General features: G+C 40.5%; 2 protein-coding genes and 1 pseudogene across 13 annotated transcripts in view, besides 1 other annotated feature; 1 reads left to right on the forward strand and 2 right to left on the reverse strand.

Annotated features, from left to right (window-relative positions):
• Positions 1 to 13,947, reverse strand: part of LYPLA1-TCEA1 (LYPLA1-TCEA1 readthrough) — a 135,392-nt gene that overhangs the window by 94,640 nt on the left and 26,805 nt on the right. For 3 of the 4 annotated variants that reach the window (NM_001425839.1, NM_001425842.1, NM_001425840.1), the window contains exons 3-5: positions 4,553 to 4,618; positions 2,133 to 2,180; positions 1,059 to 1,129 (exon numbers count right to left, since the gene is read on the reverse strand). The exons of the other annotated variant lie outside the window; for it this stretch is intronic. In NM_001425839.1, coding sequence (NP_001412768.1) covers positions 1,059 to 1,129; positions 2,133 to 2,180; positions 4,553 to 4,618 — 185 coding nt within the window. The remainder of the gene's footprint in view (positions 1 to 1,058; positions 1,130 to 2,132; positions 2,181 to 4,552; positions 4,619 to 13,947) is intronic. 4 annotated transcript variants of the gene reach the window in all.
• The window catches only part of LYPLA1 (lysophospholipase 1), a 58,961-nt gene that overhangs the window by 18,209 nt on the left and 26,805 nt on the right, over positions 1 to 13,947 (reverse strand). For 7 of the 9 annotated variants that reach the window (NR_189621.1, NR_189622.1, NM_001425837.1 and 4 more), the window contains exons 3-5: positions 4,553 to 4,618; positions 2,133 to 2,180; positions 1,059 to 1,129 (exon numbers count right to left, since the gene is read on the reverse strand). Coding sequence is in view for 7 of the 9 variants with exons in the window: in NM_001425837.1 (NP_001412766.1) it covers positions 1,059 to 1,129; positions 2,133 to 2,180; positions 4,553 to 4,618 (185 nt within the window). In the remaining 2 variants the exon portion in view is untranslated. The remainder of the gene's footprint in view (positions 1 to 1,058; positions 1,130 to 2,132; positions 2,181 to 4,552; positions 4,619 to 13,947) is intronic. The other 2 variants (NM_001279359.2, NM_001279357.2) reach the window with 2 other exon arrangements.
• Positions 10,022 to 10,121: an enhancer, noted in NCBI's record as "active region_27370". NCBI's record gives its function as "activates an Ori minimal core promoter by ATAC-STARR-seq in GM12878 lymphoblastoid cells {active_cell/tissue: GM12878}" and the evidence as "EXISTENCE:reporter gene assay evidence [ECO:0000049][PMID:35858748]".
• Positions 11,898 to 12,798, forward strand: CRIPTOP5 (CRIPTO pseudogene 5; annotated as a pseudogene).

Here is a 13,947-nt window from a genome sequence, read left to right on the forward strand (position 1 = left end):
TCGGCCTCCCAAGTAGCTGGAATTACAGGCGTGCGTGACCACGCCCAGCTAATTTTTTAATTTTTAGTAGAAACGGGGTTTCACTAGGTTAGCCAGGCTGGTCTCGAACTCCTGACCTCACATGATCTGCCCACCTCGGCTTCCCAAAGTGCTGGGATTAAAGGCGTGAGCCACCACGCCCGGCCGGCCAAAACTATATAAACATTCTGCTGTTTTCTCCATTTTCCTATGTAAATCAAAGAAAAATTATTATACGTCTGACAGAGTTTAAAGTTGATAAATGCCATTTGTCCCCATCCACCTCATCTCCATTGCCTATACTCAAGTGAGTCCATGCGGACACTGTGGCAAACAAGTAACAGAGTGACCAGAAAGGAAAACAAGCCTGGGCAACACAGGGAGACCCTGTGTCTACAAAAAGAAAAAATTAAAACCTGGCGGGGCATGGTGGTGTGCGCCTCCATGGTCCCAGCCTACTCAGGAGGATGAGGTGGAAGGGTCGCTTGAGTTCAGGAGGTCAAGGCTGCAGTGAGCTTTGATCACGCCACTGCATTCCAGGCTAGGTGACACAGCAAGACCCTCTCTGGGGGGCAGGGGGTAAAAGGAAGGAAACAGCAGTACCTCCTGAGATTAGATAAATGTGGTTTTTTTTGGTTTGTTTTTGTTTTTGTTTTTCTGAGATGAAGTTTTGCTCTGGTTGCCCAGGCTGGAGCGCAGTGGGGCGATCTCAGCTCACTGCAACCTCCACCTCCCAGGTTCAAGCAACTATCCTGCTTCATCCTCTCAAGTGGCTGGGATTACAGGCGCCCACCACCATATCCAGCTAATTTTTTGTATTTTCAGTAGAGATGGGGTTTCACCATGCTGGCCAAGCTGGTCTTGAACTCCTGACCTTCAGGTGACCCACCCGCCTCTACTTCCCAAAGTACTGGGATTACAGGCGTGAGCCACCGTGCCCGGCCCAAATGTGTAATTTTTAACCAGTAGCGATATGATTACTAAATCTACTAAAAACATTTAAGAACACTTTTGGCTTTATAAACATTTTCTGTACTTACTATTTTCTGCTGCCTGTTTAATCCCAGATTCATCCTCCTGTGAATCTGGTGAAAGCCCAATAATATCAAACCTGTAAAATAAGGCAAAATCTTTTGATTCTAAGAAAAATCTATTATTGTAGTAAGTATATTTTACTACATTCATGGTAGCTTGGATTAAAAGGCTAACCAGAAATATGTTTTATTTTATTTAATTTATCTATTTAATTAATTTATTTTTTGAGACGAAGTCTCACTATTTATTTATTTATTTATTTATTTATTTATTTATTTTTTGAGACGAAGTCTCACTCTGTTGCTCAGGCTGAAGTGCAGTGGCATGATCTCTGCTCACTGCAGCCTCCCCCTCCCAGGTTCAAGCAATTCTCCTGTGTCAGCCTCCTGAGTAGCTGGTACTACAGGTGCATGCCACCACACCCGGCTAATTTTTGTATTTTTAGTAGACATGGGGTTTCACTGTGTTGGCCAGGCTGGTCCTGAACTCCTGACCTCAGTTGATCAGCCTGCCTCTGCCTCCCAAAGTGTTGGGATTATAGGTGTGAGCCACCATGCCCGGCTAAAGTCATCGTTTTTTAACAGACCTGATGTTAGGAGTCTCAGAGAACAGTTAGGAAAAATCATAGTCTGGAAGTAGCACATAGGAACAAAAAACTGACCCTACTTTCTGACAGTAAAGTGCAGAGGGAATGTGAGGATATCTTCAGAGGGCTGGAAGGGAAGCGGTTTCCTTAAAAACAACCCAGACAGGCAAGAAATTGGAAAGATGAAGAGGCTGTGGTTTAATAGGGGTCATTCGAATGTTGGGTTACTAAAACCAACAAAGGTTTATCAAGCAGCAGAAGATATTCTCCCACATGATTTTTATTCAAACACTCTCTCCTATTTCCTCTACCTGTATGTACAGCTCCTTAAGTTTACCCCTAAATCCAGAGTATGAAAATGTAAATAGAGGTTAACTATGCAACTTTGCAATTTAAAAAACAGCTAAATAAAAACTGCTGTACACAAAAGCATTTCTGATAACATTAAATAAGTAATATAATGTTCTTATTCAATAAGTAAATTCTTACTTACCATGAAGGCATAGCCACGTTCATATTTAATGTAACAGGCCTAACAGGCCTACATGGAAAAGAAAAAACAACAAAATCAGAATAACAAAGCATAAAAACTGATAAATTCCATTAATCAAAAACAGATAATTGCTTGAGACCTACACAAAACTATATGCTACAGTTTTAACATATGAACTGTTTTATTTCATCCACACCTGTACAACTCTGCTTTCCACGCCCCTCCAAATGTGTTCTGAAGACAGAGCAACAGCAACAAAGGACGAAGCTTGACAGATACATTTTCCCTTCTCAACACCCTTACTTACTACTTTTGACTTCTCAGACACGAGAAGAGAAACCAGAAACCAAGACAGTTGGAAATGTATAAAACACGAGATTCCGGTATAGGGCTAAGGACAATGAGTGATTTATTACACTGATACTGTAGCATCAATTCTCATATGCTCAGATTACACTTTTCCTAATTTTCTAGTTCTTAGCTATGTACTTGCTTAAGAGACCTCTAAATAAATAAGGGAAATCCAAAATTTGCCTAAGTGTCCATTATAGCCAATTCAAGTCTGTGATTAAAAATATGCTAGATAATCTGAATTCAGCTCCATCCAAAGGAAAGAAAAATAAGCACACTCTAACTACATCTCACCACTTTCCTCCTGATTCATGAAGTAAGTCCACCTTAGAGGTTACAAACTGTATCAAAATTTCTTTGAAAATACAAACTTCCTAGGTTGGGCAACAGCCTTTTAAAGCAGTTCAACTTGGGGCAAATATCAATATCCATTCCAACGTAATTAAGAATTCTGGGCCGGGCGGGGTGGGTCACGCCTGTAATCCCAGCACTTTGGGAGGCCGAGGCGGGCGGATCACCTGAGATCAGGAGTTTGAGACCAGCCCGGCCAACATGGTGAAACCATGTCTCTATTAAAAATACAAAAAATTAGCCCAGGCATGGTGGCAGGCGCCTGTAATTCCAGCTACTTGGGAGGCTGAGGCAGGAGAAACGCATGAACCCGGGAGGCAGAGGTTGCAGTAAACCAGGATTATGCCACTGCACTCCATCTTGGGCAACAGAGAGAGACTCCATCTCAAAAAAAAAGAAAAAGAATAAAAAGAATTCTGTCTCTTGCTTGAGCAGAATGATAGAGGACATAGCAACCCTAGCCACAGTATTCACTGTAGCCTAGAGGTAAGACAGACTGTATTTCAGGATAAAAAGAGGAAGAAATGTTTTCTTATCCAATCTTCTCAGCTGTTATTCTTCTTCCCATTCCCTCTTTCATGTTTATGTATCTGTCCCAACTCTACTGCTACTACCACTTCTGGGGATGAATTACTAACTGACATGAGTATGTCCAATCCCTTCTTGTCTTCTCCATGGTTATTGCTTCTCAGCAACTTTTTGACCTAAATCAAGGGTGTCCAATCATTTGGTTTCCCTGGGCTACATTGGAAGAAGAATTGTCTTGGGCCACACATAAAAATACATTAACACTAACAATAGCTGATGAGGTAAAAAATAAAATAATATTTAAAAATCGCAAAAAAAAAAATCTCATAATGTTTTAAGAAAGTTTACTAATTTGCATTGGGCTGCATTCAAACTGACCTGGGCCACAGGTTGGACAAGCTTGACCTAATGTGCCAATCTTATTGATCTTCTAAGTTTGCTCAAAACTTTCAGAGCCAGAATTCAAAACAATACCTATCATATTCCAAAGTCTGTGCTCTTTCCACAGTACATCAACATTGCCCCAAACGATAAAATTAAAGAGTGTTTTCAACGTAATAAAGAGTTCTCACAAATCTAACAGGTAAATCCCCTTCAGAGATACCCTAGGGATATCCTAGAACTTTATAGATATTTGTATATCTAAGATAATTTTTCTGGGAGGCCAAGGCAGGTCGATCACTTGAGGTCAGGCATTTGAGAATAGCCTGGCCAACATGGTGAAACCCTGCCTCTACTAAACATACAAAAATTAGCTGGGCGTGGTGGCACGTACCTGTAATCCCAGCTACTCTGGAGGCTGAGGCAGGAGAATCGCTTGAACCCAGGAGGTGGAGGTTGCAGTGAGCCGAGATCACGCCACTGCACTCCAGCCTGGGTGGCAGAGTGAGACTCTGTCTCAAAAATAAATAAATAAATAAATAAATAAATAAAATAATTTTTCTGGTCTTAAGTTCAGCTGACCTCCAAGACAGCAATATTTTAAATTGCTTAACGAAAGAGAAAAAGAAAAAAATCAATTTACCTAAGAAACCATTTTAGTTTTAAGGAATTCTACTAATCTTTATTTTTAAACAATATTTAAAAAGTAAAAATTAACTGTATTCAAATACTTTTCTGGAAGGGTAAAGCAATCACAATTGCTCCTCTCCAGACTCTGAATCACAAGCCTGAAGATCAGAAATACTCACGCATGCGGGCAGATATATTTGATATGTGAACTTCTGATACCTGCAAAGGCTTCTGCCCATCCGTGCCTGGTGGAAAAATCATTGAATAATGCTATTAGACACTGTTTTAAATCCCAGTAAGTAAGTAGCAGAAGAGTAGCTTTAAAAAATTGTGAAGATAAATGTTAAATCCTAAAAATATGGTTTTTTTTTGTTTGTTTGTTTTTTGAGATGGCGTCTCGCTCTGTCGCCCAGGCTGGAGTACAGTGGCGCGATCTCGGCTCACTGCAAGCTACCTCTCCCGAGTTCACGCCATTCTCCTGCCTCAGCCTCCCAAGTAGCCGGGACTACAGGTGCCCGCCACCACGCCCGGCTAATTTTTTCTAATTTTTAGTAGAGACGGGGTTTCACCATGTTAGCCAGGATGGTCTTGATCTCCTGACCTCGTGATCCGCTCGCCTCGGCCTCCCAAAGTGCTGGGAATACAGGCGTGAGCCATCACACCCGGCCTAAAAATATCTTTAAAATGTGGGCCCTCAATACTATTAAAACAACACCATGAATCTAAAAAGAACCCAGCAGCTGTTAAGTTTTACCTAGGGATAAGGATGATTTCTCAGATTTCTGAACAGCAGTGTGTGCCCCTTCAGATATTTCCACAGGGCTTCACAACTTCCAAACTATAGATATATTTTTAAAATGTCTTTATACAATGTGTTTATAAAGTAGGCAAGAGAAATAATTAACATTTTACACAAAGAAAAAAAGCCTTGGCCGGGTGCAGTGGCTCACGCCTGTAATCCTAGCACTTTGGGAGGGTGAGGCAGGAAGATCACCTGAGGTCAGGAGTTCAAGACAAGCCTGCCCAACATAGTGAAACCCCATCTCTACTAAAAATACAAAAATTAGCCAGGCATGGTGGTGTGCACCTGTAGTCCCAGCTACTCAGGAGGCTGAGGCAGGAGAATTGCTTGAACCCAGGAGGTGGAGGCTGCAGTGAGCCGAGATCACGCCACTGCACTCCAGCCTGGGCAACAGAGCGAGACTCCATCTCAAAAAAAAAGAAAAGAAAAAAAAGAAAAAGAAAAAAGCCTCAGATAAATAAACTAAATCAGTTGTCTAACATCTCTACATGCTTACTACACTATTTAAAAACAGTAACTTTCACCTGGGCACAGTGGCTCATGCTTACAAGCACTTTGGGAGACTGAAGCATGCGGATCACTTGAGTCCAGAGTTCGAGACCAGCCTGGCCAACATGGTGAAACCCTGTCTCTACTAAAAATACAAAAACTAGCTGGGCGTTTTTGTGCATTGCCTGTAATCCCAGCTACTCAGGAGGCTGAGGCAGGAGAATCGCTTGAACCAGGAGGCAGAGGTTGCAGTGAGCCAAGACTAGACCACTGCACCCCAGCCTGGGCAACAGAGTGAGACTCCATCTCAAAATAAATAAATAAGTGAGTAAATAAAATAAAAACAGCAACTTTCGCTGAGCATGGTGGCTCATGTCTATAATCCCAGCACTTTGAGAGGCTGAGGTAGGAGGACAGCTTGAGACCAGGAGTTTAAGACCAGCCTAAACAATATAGTAAGACCCACTCTACAGAAAACTTAAGAAAAAAAAATTTTTTAATCCAGCAACTTTAATATTTCTTCATGCGTACATGTTCACATACATACACGTTCAAAGCAGAACATGGAATAATTGAAAAATTATAAATAATCAAATCCTTCTAGCCAGGAATAAACAGTTAATTTTCTGATGCATTTCCTTCTGATTTTTCCCATGCATGTCAATTAAGGAATAGATGCACATTTTACAAAACAGGGATCATGTTATACATATAGTTTCCTGCTTATTTACATTTGGCCATATACTTGATGCTTTTTACATATTATCTCTACTAAAGAATAAAGTACCAGTAATTTCAGCCTTTCTTACATCAAAGAGTCTTGATGAATGTTAATTTTTTTTTTTTTTTTTTTTGAGACAGAGTCTTGCTCTGTTGCCCAGGCTGGAGTGCAGTGGCGCGATCTCGGCTCACTGCAAGCCCCACCTCCCGGGCTCACACCATTCTCCTGCCTCAGCCTCCCGAGTAGGCGCCCGCCACCACACCAGCTAAATTTTTTTTTTGTATTTTTAGTAGAGACGGGGTTTTACTGTGTTAGCCAGGATGGTCTTGATCTCCTGACCTCATGATCCGTCTGCCTCAGCCTCCCAAAGTGCTGGAATTACAGGCGTGAGCCACCATGCCCAGCCCCCTGTTAAATACTTTTCTATTAACTATTTTTCTATTTCAACCCACTTCCCCCAAAGTGTTAAAGACATATAAAAAGATTAGTAACAACAGTATTAACTGCAATACTTACATAACATTAACTATAACCAGGATATTATATAGGAGTTTTGTGTATATGCACATGTGTATATGTGTAAATAGCTATGTTAAAGACTTTTTTCTGAAAACTATAAAACATATTAAGAAATACAAGAAAATCTATATAAATGGAAGGATATCCCACTTTCATGGACTGGGAGATATAATATTTTAAAGACGGCAGTACTCTCAAATTGATCTATGGAGTCAATGCAATCTTTAACAGAATACCACCTGACTTTGCACATATTAGAACCCGATCTAAAATTTGTATGGAAACTCAAGAGACCCAGAATAACAACAACAACAAAAATCTTGAAAAAGAACAAAATTAGAGGACTCACACTTCTTAATCTCAAAAATTCCTACCAAGTAACATTCAGAAAGACTAGTACTAGAGTACAGACAGACATATAAATCAACCGAAAATCCAGAAATAAAACCTCACATTTACTGTCAAACTTATTTCTGAAACAAATCAACAGGGAAGGAATAGTCTTTTTAACAAAAGTAGCTGGGACAAGTGGATATCCACATGTAATACAAAGAAGTTGGACTGCTACCTCATACCATATGTAAACACTGACCAAATACCTAAATGTAAGAGATAAAACTATAAAACTAGAAGAAAACACACATACATCTTTGTGACCTCAGATCTGGCAATTTCTTAGATATAACATCAAAAGCACAACCGACAAGAAAAAAATAGATAAATTAGAAATCATCAAAATTAACTGTTGTGTTTCAAAGGACACTATGAAGAAAATGAAAAGACAACTTACATAGTGGGAAAAATGTTTGCAAATCACATCTAATTAAAGTGTCTAGTATCCATAATAAAAAAAACTTGCAACTCACAAACAAAAAGACAACCCAATTAAAAAATATGCAAAAGACTTGATGAGATGTTTGTCCAAAGAAGATATACAAATGGCCAAAAAGCACAGGAAAAGATGCTGAACATCATTAGTCATTAAGGAAACATAAATCAAAGCCCCAATGATACATCACTTCATACTCACTAGGATGGCTATCAATATAATGATGAAAGGAATAAATTCTGGTGTTCTGTAGCACTGTTGAGTGAATATGGTTAACTACAATTCAGTGTATATTTTCAAAATGCTAGAAGAAAGGGTGTTGAATGTTCACAATGCAAAGAAACGATAAATGTTTGAGGTGATGGATATGCTAATTACCCTGATTTGATTCTTACATGTTGTATACATGTATCAAAATATATCACTCAGTATCCCATAAATATGAACAATTATGTATCAACTAAAAGTAAAAGGAAAAGAAAAAATACTTTAAAAAAAACTTTGGCCAGGCATGGTGGCTCATGCCTGTAATCCCAGCACTTTGGGAGGCCAAGGCGGGCAGATCCCTTGAGTCCAGGAGTTCAAGACCTGCTTGGCCAACATGGTGAAACCCCGTCTCTACTAAATCTATGAAAATTAGCTGGGCGTGGTGCGCACCTGTAGTCCCAGCTACTCAGAAGCTGAGGCTGGAGAATCATTTGAACCTGGGAGGCAGAGATTGCAATGAGCTGAGATTGTGCCACTCCACTCCAGCCTGGGCGACAGAGTGAGACTCTGTCTCGTTTAAAAAAAAAAAAAAGGAATATACTAAATGTCATGAATTGTTCACATTAAAAGGGTTAGTTTTATGTCATGTGAATTTTACCTCGAATTAAACAAAAAAGACATCTCAATAAAAAAATAGGCAAAAGACTTGAATAGACATTTCTCAGACAAATGAATGGTTAATACACCATGAAAAGATGCTCAACATCATTAGTCATTAGAAAATGCAAACCAAAACCACTGTGAGATACCACTTCATACCTACCGGAATGGTTATCGTAAAAATGACAAATAATAGCCAAGTGTTAAAGGGTATGGTGAGAAATCAGAACCCTCATACACTGTTGGTAGAAATGTAAATGGTGCAGCGACTTTAGATAACCTTTAGGTTCTCAAAAGGATAAATATGAAGTTACCATATCCAGCAATTCTATTCCTAGGTCTATACCGAAGAATAGTGAAAAAATATGTCCAGTACAGATGTGGTGGCTCATGCCTGTAAACCCAGCTACTCGGGAGGCTGAGGCAGGAGAATTGCTGGAACCCGGGAGGCGGAAGTTGCGGTGAGCCGAGATCGTGCCACTGCAGTCCAGCCTGGGCAACAAGAGTGAAACTCCATCTCAAAACAAAAACAAAAACACAACAACAAAAAACTTGTACACAAATGTTCTTTTTTAGCAGTATTACGCAACTTCAAGGTGCAAACAACCCAAATGTCCATCAAATGATGGATGAATAAACAAAATGAGGCCAGGCGTGGTGGCTCATACGGTAATCCCAGCACTTTGGGGAGGCCAAGGCTGGCAGATCACCTGAGGTCAGGGGTTCGAGACCAGCCTGGTCAACATGGTGAAACCTGTCTCTACTAAAAATACAAAAATTAGCCAGGCTTGATGGCGCATGCCTGTAGTACCAGCGACTGGGGAGACTGAGGTAGAAGAATCACTCAAACCCGGGAGGAGGAGGTTGCAGTGAGCTGAGATCACACCACTGTACTCCAGCCTGGGCGGCAGAGCGAGACTCCATCTCAAATAAAGAATAAAATAAAATAAAATGAGGCACAGCCATACAACGGAGTATGATTCAACAATGAGAAGGAAGTACTGACATGCTATAGCACGGATGAGCCTTGAAAACAATGTTAAGTGAAAGAAGCCAGTTACAATAGAACACAAATGAAAGAGTATAGGGTTTCTTTTTGAGGCAATGAAAATGTTCTAAAATTGACTGTGGTGATGGTTGCAAAACTTACGGTGAATACATCTAAAACCATCAAATTACACACTTTAAATGAGTGAATTGTGTGGTATATGAATTATATGTCAATAAAACTGGTACCAAAAATAAAGACGAAGAATGCATGACTGGACCCAGTCATGAGGAACCATTAGACAGACTCAAGTTGAAGAGTCACTCTGCAGAATATGCAGAACTGAAGGCTGTGGCTATATGCTTTAAAACTGCAAAGGAAATGAAAGAAGAACTGATAAACAGTTTCAGACTCAAGACATGACAGCTCAAATGAACACATACTCCTGGAAAGGATCTCAGGCCAGAAAGGAAACGGACACAGCTGAGAAAGCTGGCAAAACTTCAATGGAGTCTGTGGACTGGATATAGTGTTTAATCAATGCTCATCTCCTAATTTGGAGTGTTGTATGTTGGTTATGTACAAGTATCCTTGTGCATGGGAAATACACATGAGAGTATTTAGAGGTGATAGGAACATGTTTGCAGGTTTATCTCAAGAGTTAAAAAAAGACTCATCTATATATACGTACATATATATACAGGGTGGGGGCGTGGACAAGCACACACAGGACTGAGTGCACACACAATGGAACACACGCAGTAAAAGATGAACCAAGGAAGCTCCATGACAGCGATATGAGATTTTTTTGTACAAAAAGCACACATTTTATTTTAAAAGTGTGAGTTACAATTGCCACAAAAAGAATAAAATACCTAGGAATACAGCTAACCAGGGAGGTGAAAGATCTCTACAACAAGAATTACAAAACGCTGCTCAAAGAAATCAGAGATGACACAAACAAGTGGAAATGCATTCCATGCTCATGGATAGGAAGAATCAATACTGTTAAATGGCCATACTGCCCAAAGCAATCTACAGATTCAATGCTATTCCTATCAAACTACCAATGACATTCTTCACGGAATTAGGAAAAAATGTTTTAAAATTCACATGGAACCAAAAAAAGAGCCCAAACAGACAAGGCAATCCTAAGCAAAAAGAACAAAGCTGGAGGCATCATGTTACTGGACTTCAAACTATGCTACAGGGGTACAATAACCAAAACAGCATGGTACTGGTACAAAAACAGACACATAGACCAATCAAACAGAATAGACAGCACAGAAGTAAGGTCACACACCTACAACTATTTGATACTCAACAAAGCTGACAAAAACAAGCAATGGGAAAAAGGACTCCCCAGTCAATAAAAAGTGCCAGGATAACTGGGTGACCATATGCAGATGATAGAAACTGGACCCCCACCTAACACCACATACAAAAATCAACTCAAGATGGATTCAAGACTTAAATGTAAAACCCCTAACTATAAAAACTCGAAAGACAACCTAGGAAATACCATTTTAGACATAGGACTTGTCTAAGATTTCATGGTGAAGACGCCAAAAGCAACTGCAACAAAAACAAAAATTGACAAATGAGATCTAATTAAACTAAGGAGCTATTGCACAGCAAAAGAAACTATCAACAGAGTAAACAAACATCCTGCAGATGGAAGAAAATATATGCAAACTGCGCACCCAACAAAGGTCTAATATCCAGAATCTATAAGGAACTTAAATTTACAAGTAAAAAACAAACCACCTAGCTGTTCTGTGGTGTAGCCATTCTTTTATTCCTTTACTTTCTTAATAAACTTGCTTCCACTTTACTGTTAAAAAAAAAAAAATCAAACAACCCCATTGAAAAGTAGACAAAAAACATGAACAGACACTTTTCAAAAGACAGGCTGGGCGTGGTCGTGGCTCATGCCTGTAATCCCAGCACTTTGGGTAGCGGAGGCGGGCGGATCACTTGAGGTCAGGAGTTCGAGACCAACCTAGCCAACATAGTGAAACCCTACCTCTACTAAAAATACAAAAAATTAGCCAGGCGTGGTGGTGCGTGCCTGTAGTCCCAGCTACTCAGGAGGCTGAGGCAGGAGAATTGCTTGAACACTCCAGCTTGGCGACAGAGCAAGACTGAATCAAAAAAAAAAAAAAAAAAGACATACATGTGGCCAACAAGCATATGAAAACATGCTCAAGATCATTAATGATTAGAGAAATGCAAATCAAAACCACAACAAAATACCATCTCACAGCAGGCAGAATGGCTATCATCAAAAAGTCAAAAAAGGTCGTTAAGGGTTGGGCCATCAGGAACTTGCGCGTCCATCTCAGGGAGACCTGGCCTTCAGAGATGACAGCATTCAGCCCCAGGAGGAGCCTGCAATTCATCCTCGGTCTTCCCAACTTGTGCCGCCCAGGGAGATACAGGACAGTAAGGAACTAAACAGAACCTGCTGTCTGAATGGGGGAACCTGCATGCTGGGGTCCTTCTGTGCCTGCCCCCTCTCCTTCTATGGACGGAACTGTGAGCATGATGTGTGCAAAGAGAACTGTGGGTCTGTGCCCCATGACACCTGGCTGCCCAAGAAGTGTTCCATTTGTAAATGCTGGCACGGCCAGCTCCGCTGCTTTCCTCAGCCATTTATCTACCTGGCTGTGATGGCCTTGTGATGTATGGCATCTCATAGCTTCCAGGACTCCAGAACTACCAGCATCTACACTGCCACTTCTATGCCAGCTGGCATCTGCTTTTCTATACAAAGTTACTATTAATCGACACTGACCTATTTACAGAAGTATAATTTTAGATATCATGCAAATTTCATGACCAGTAAAGGCTGCTGCTACAATGTCCTAACAGAAAGATGACCATTTGTTAGTTGCCTTAAAATAATGAATACATTTCCAAAATAGTCTCTAACATTTCCTTATAGTACCAACTACTTCCTACCTCTTTGCCCTGCCCTCCCCCAAAAAACTACTTCTTTTTTCAAAAGTCAGCCATATCTCCATTGTGCCCAAGTCCAGTGTTTCTTGATACATGTAATTCTACCAAAGTCTTCTTAATATGTTCTTTTAAACAATTGAATTATATCTTCAGATTATTAGAGACTAATCCTAATGTGGACCTTAGGATAGTTTTGAGTAGAGGTGATCAAAATCAATTAAAATAGTCTCTTTAAAAGGAAAGAAAGCAGCCAGGTGTGGTGACTCATGCTTGTAATCCCAGCACTTTGGGGAGGCCGAGGTGGGCGGATCACGAGGTCAGGAGATTGAGACCATCCTGGCTAACATGGTGAAACCCCATCTCTACTAAAAATACAAAAATTAGCTGGGTGTGGTGGCGGGAGCCTGTAGTCCCAGCTACTTGGGAGACTGAGATAGGAGAATGGCGGGAACCCGGGAGGCAGAGCTTGCAGTGAGCCGAGATCGTGCCACTGCACTCCAGCCTGGGCGACAGAGCCTTTAATAGTCATAGATTAAAAAGACTGTTTCTTTACCATCCCCTTAGCTGAGCAAGACTGTGAACGGTTTACATTTACAATTCCTGCAGTAAACAACCTGCAGCCTGCTAAGCATTCTTCATACGTGGTTCATTCCACACAGTTAATTGAAAATGCTCAGTTACAATTTCATGCAGATGAACAACTGATGACTTTATTTACTCAACTGCAAACAGCAGTTAATAGAATGCATCCTTTTTACATCACCCACATTAGGGCTCATACACCTTTTCCAGGACCTTTGAAAGGAATCAAATGGCTGATCGCCTAGTTGCTAATGCAATTATTTAATGCTAGACACTTTCATGATTTAACCCATGTTAATGCCTCTGGTCTCAAACGCAGATACAGCATTACCTGGAAAGAAGCTAAAGCTATTATCCAGCGATGCCCAACTTACCAAATGGTACAGTCCTCATCTTTTACAGGAGGAGTTAATCATCGGGGATTGGAACCTAACTCTCTTTGGCAAATGGATGTCACACATATTCCCTCATTTGGGAGACTAGCTTATGTACATGTATGTGTGGACACCTTTTCTCACTTTGTCTGGGCTACATGCCAATCAGGAGAGTCTTCTGCCTGTGTTAAACATCATCTTGTGCAGTGTTTTGCGGTGATGGGCATTCCAACTTCTATTAAAACAATTAGGTAATGCCCCAGGCTATACTAGCCAAGCTCTAGCTACATTTTTCTCTATGTGGAATATCAAACACATTACTGGTATCCCATACAATTCTCAAGGACAAGCCATAGTGGAAAGAATGAATCTCTCCCTAAAACAGCAGTTGCAAAAGCAGAAAGGAGACAGAGAATATGGAACCCCACAGATGCAACTGAAC

The sequence above is a fragment of the Homo sapiens genome, chromosome 8, assembly GCF_000001405.40.
Source record: "Homo sapiens chromosome 8, GRCh38.p14 Primary Assembly".
NCBI lineage: Eukaryota > Metazoa > Chordata > Mammalia > Primates > Hominidae > Homo > Homo sapiens.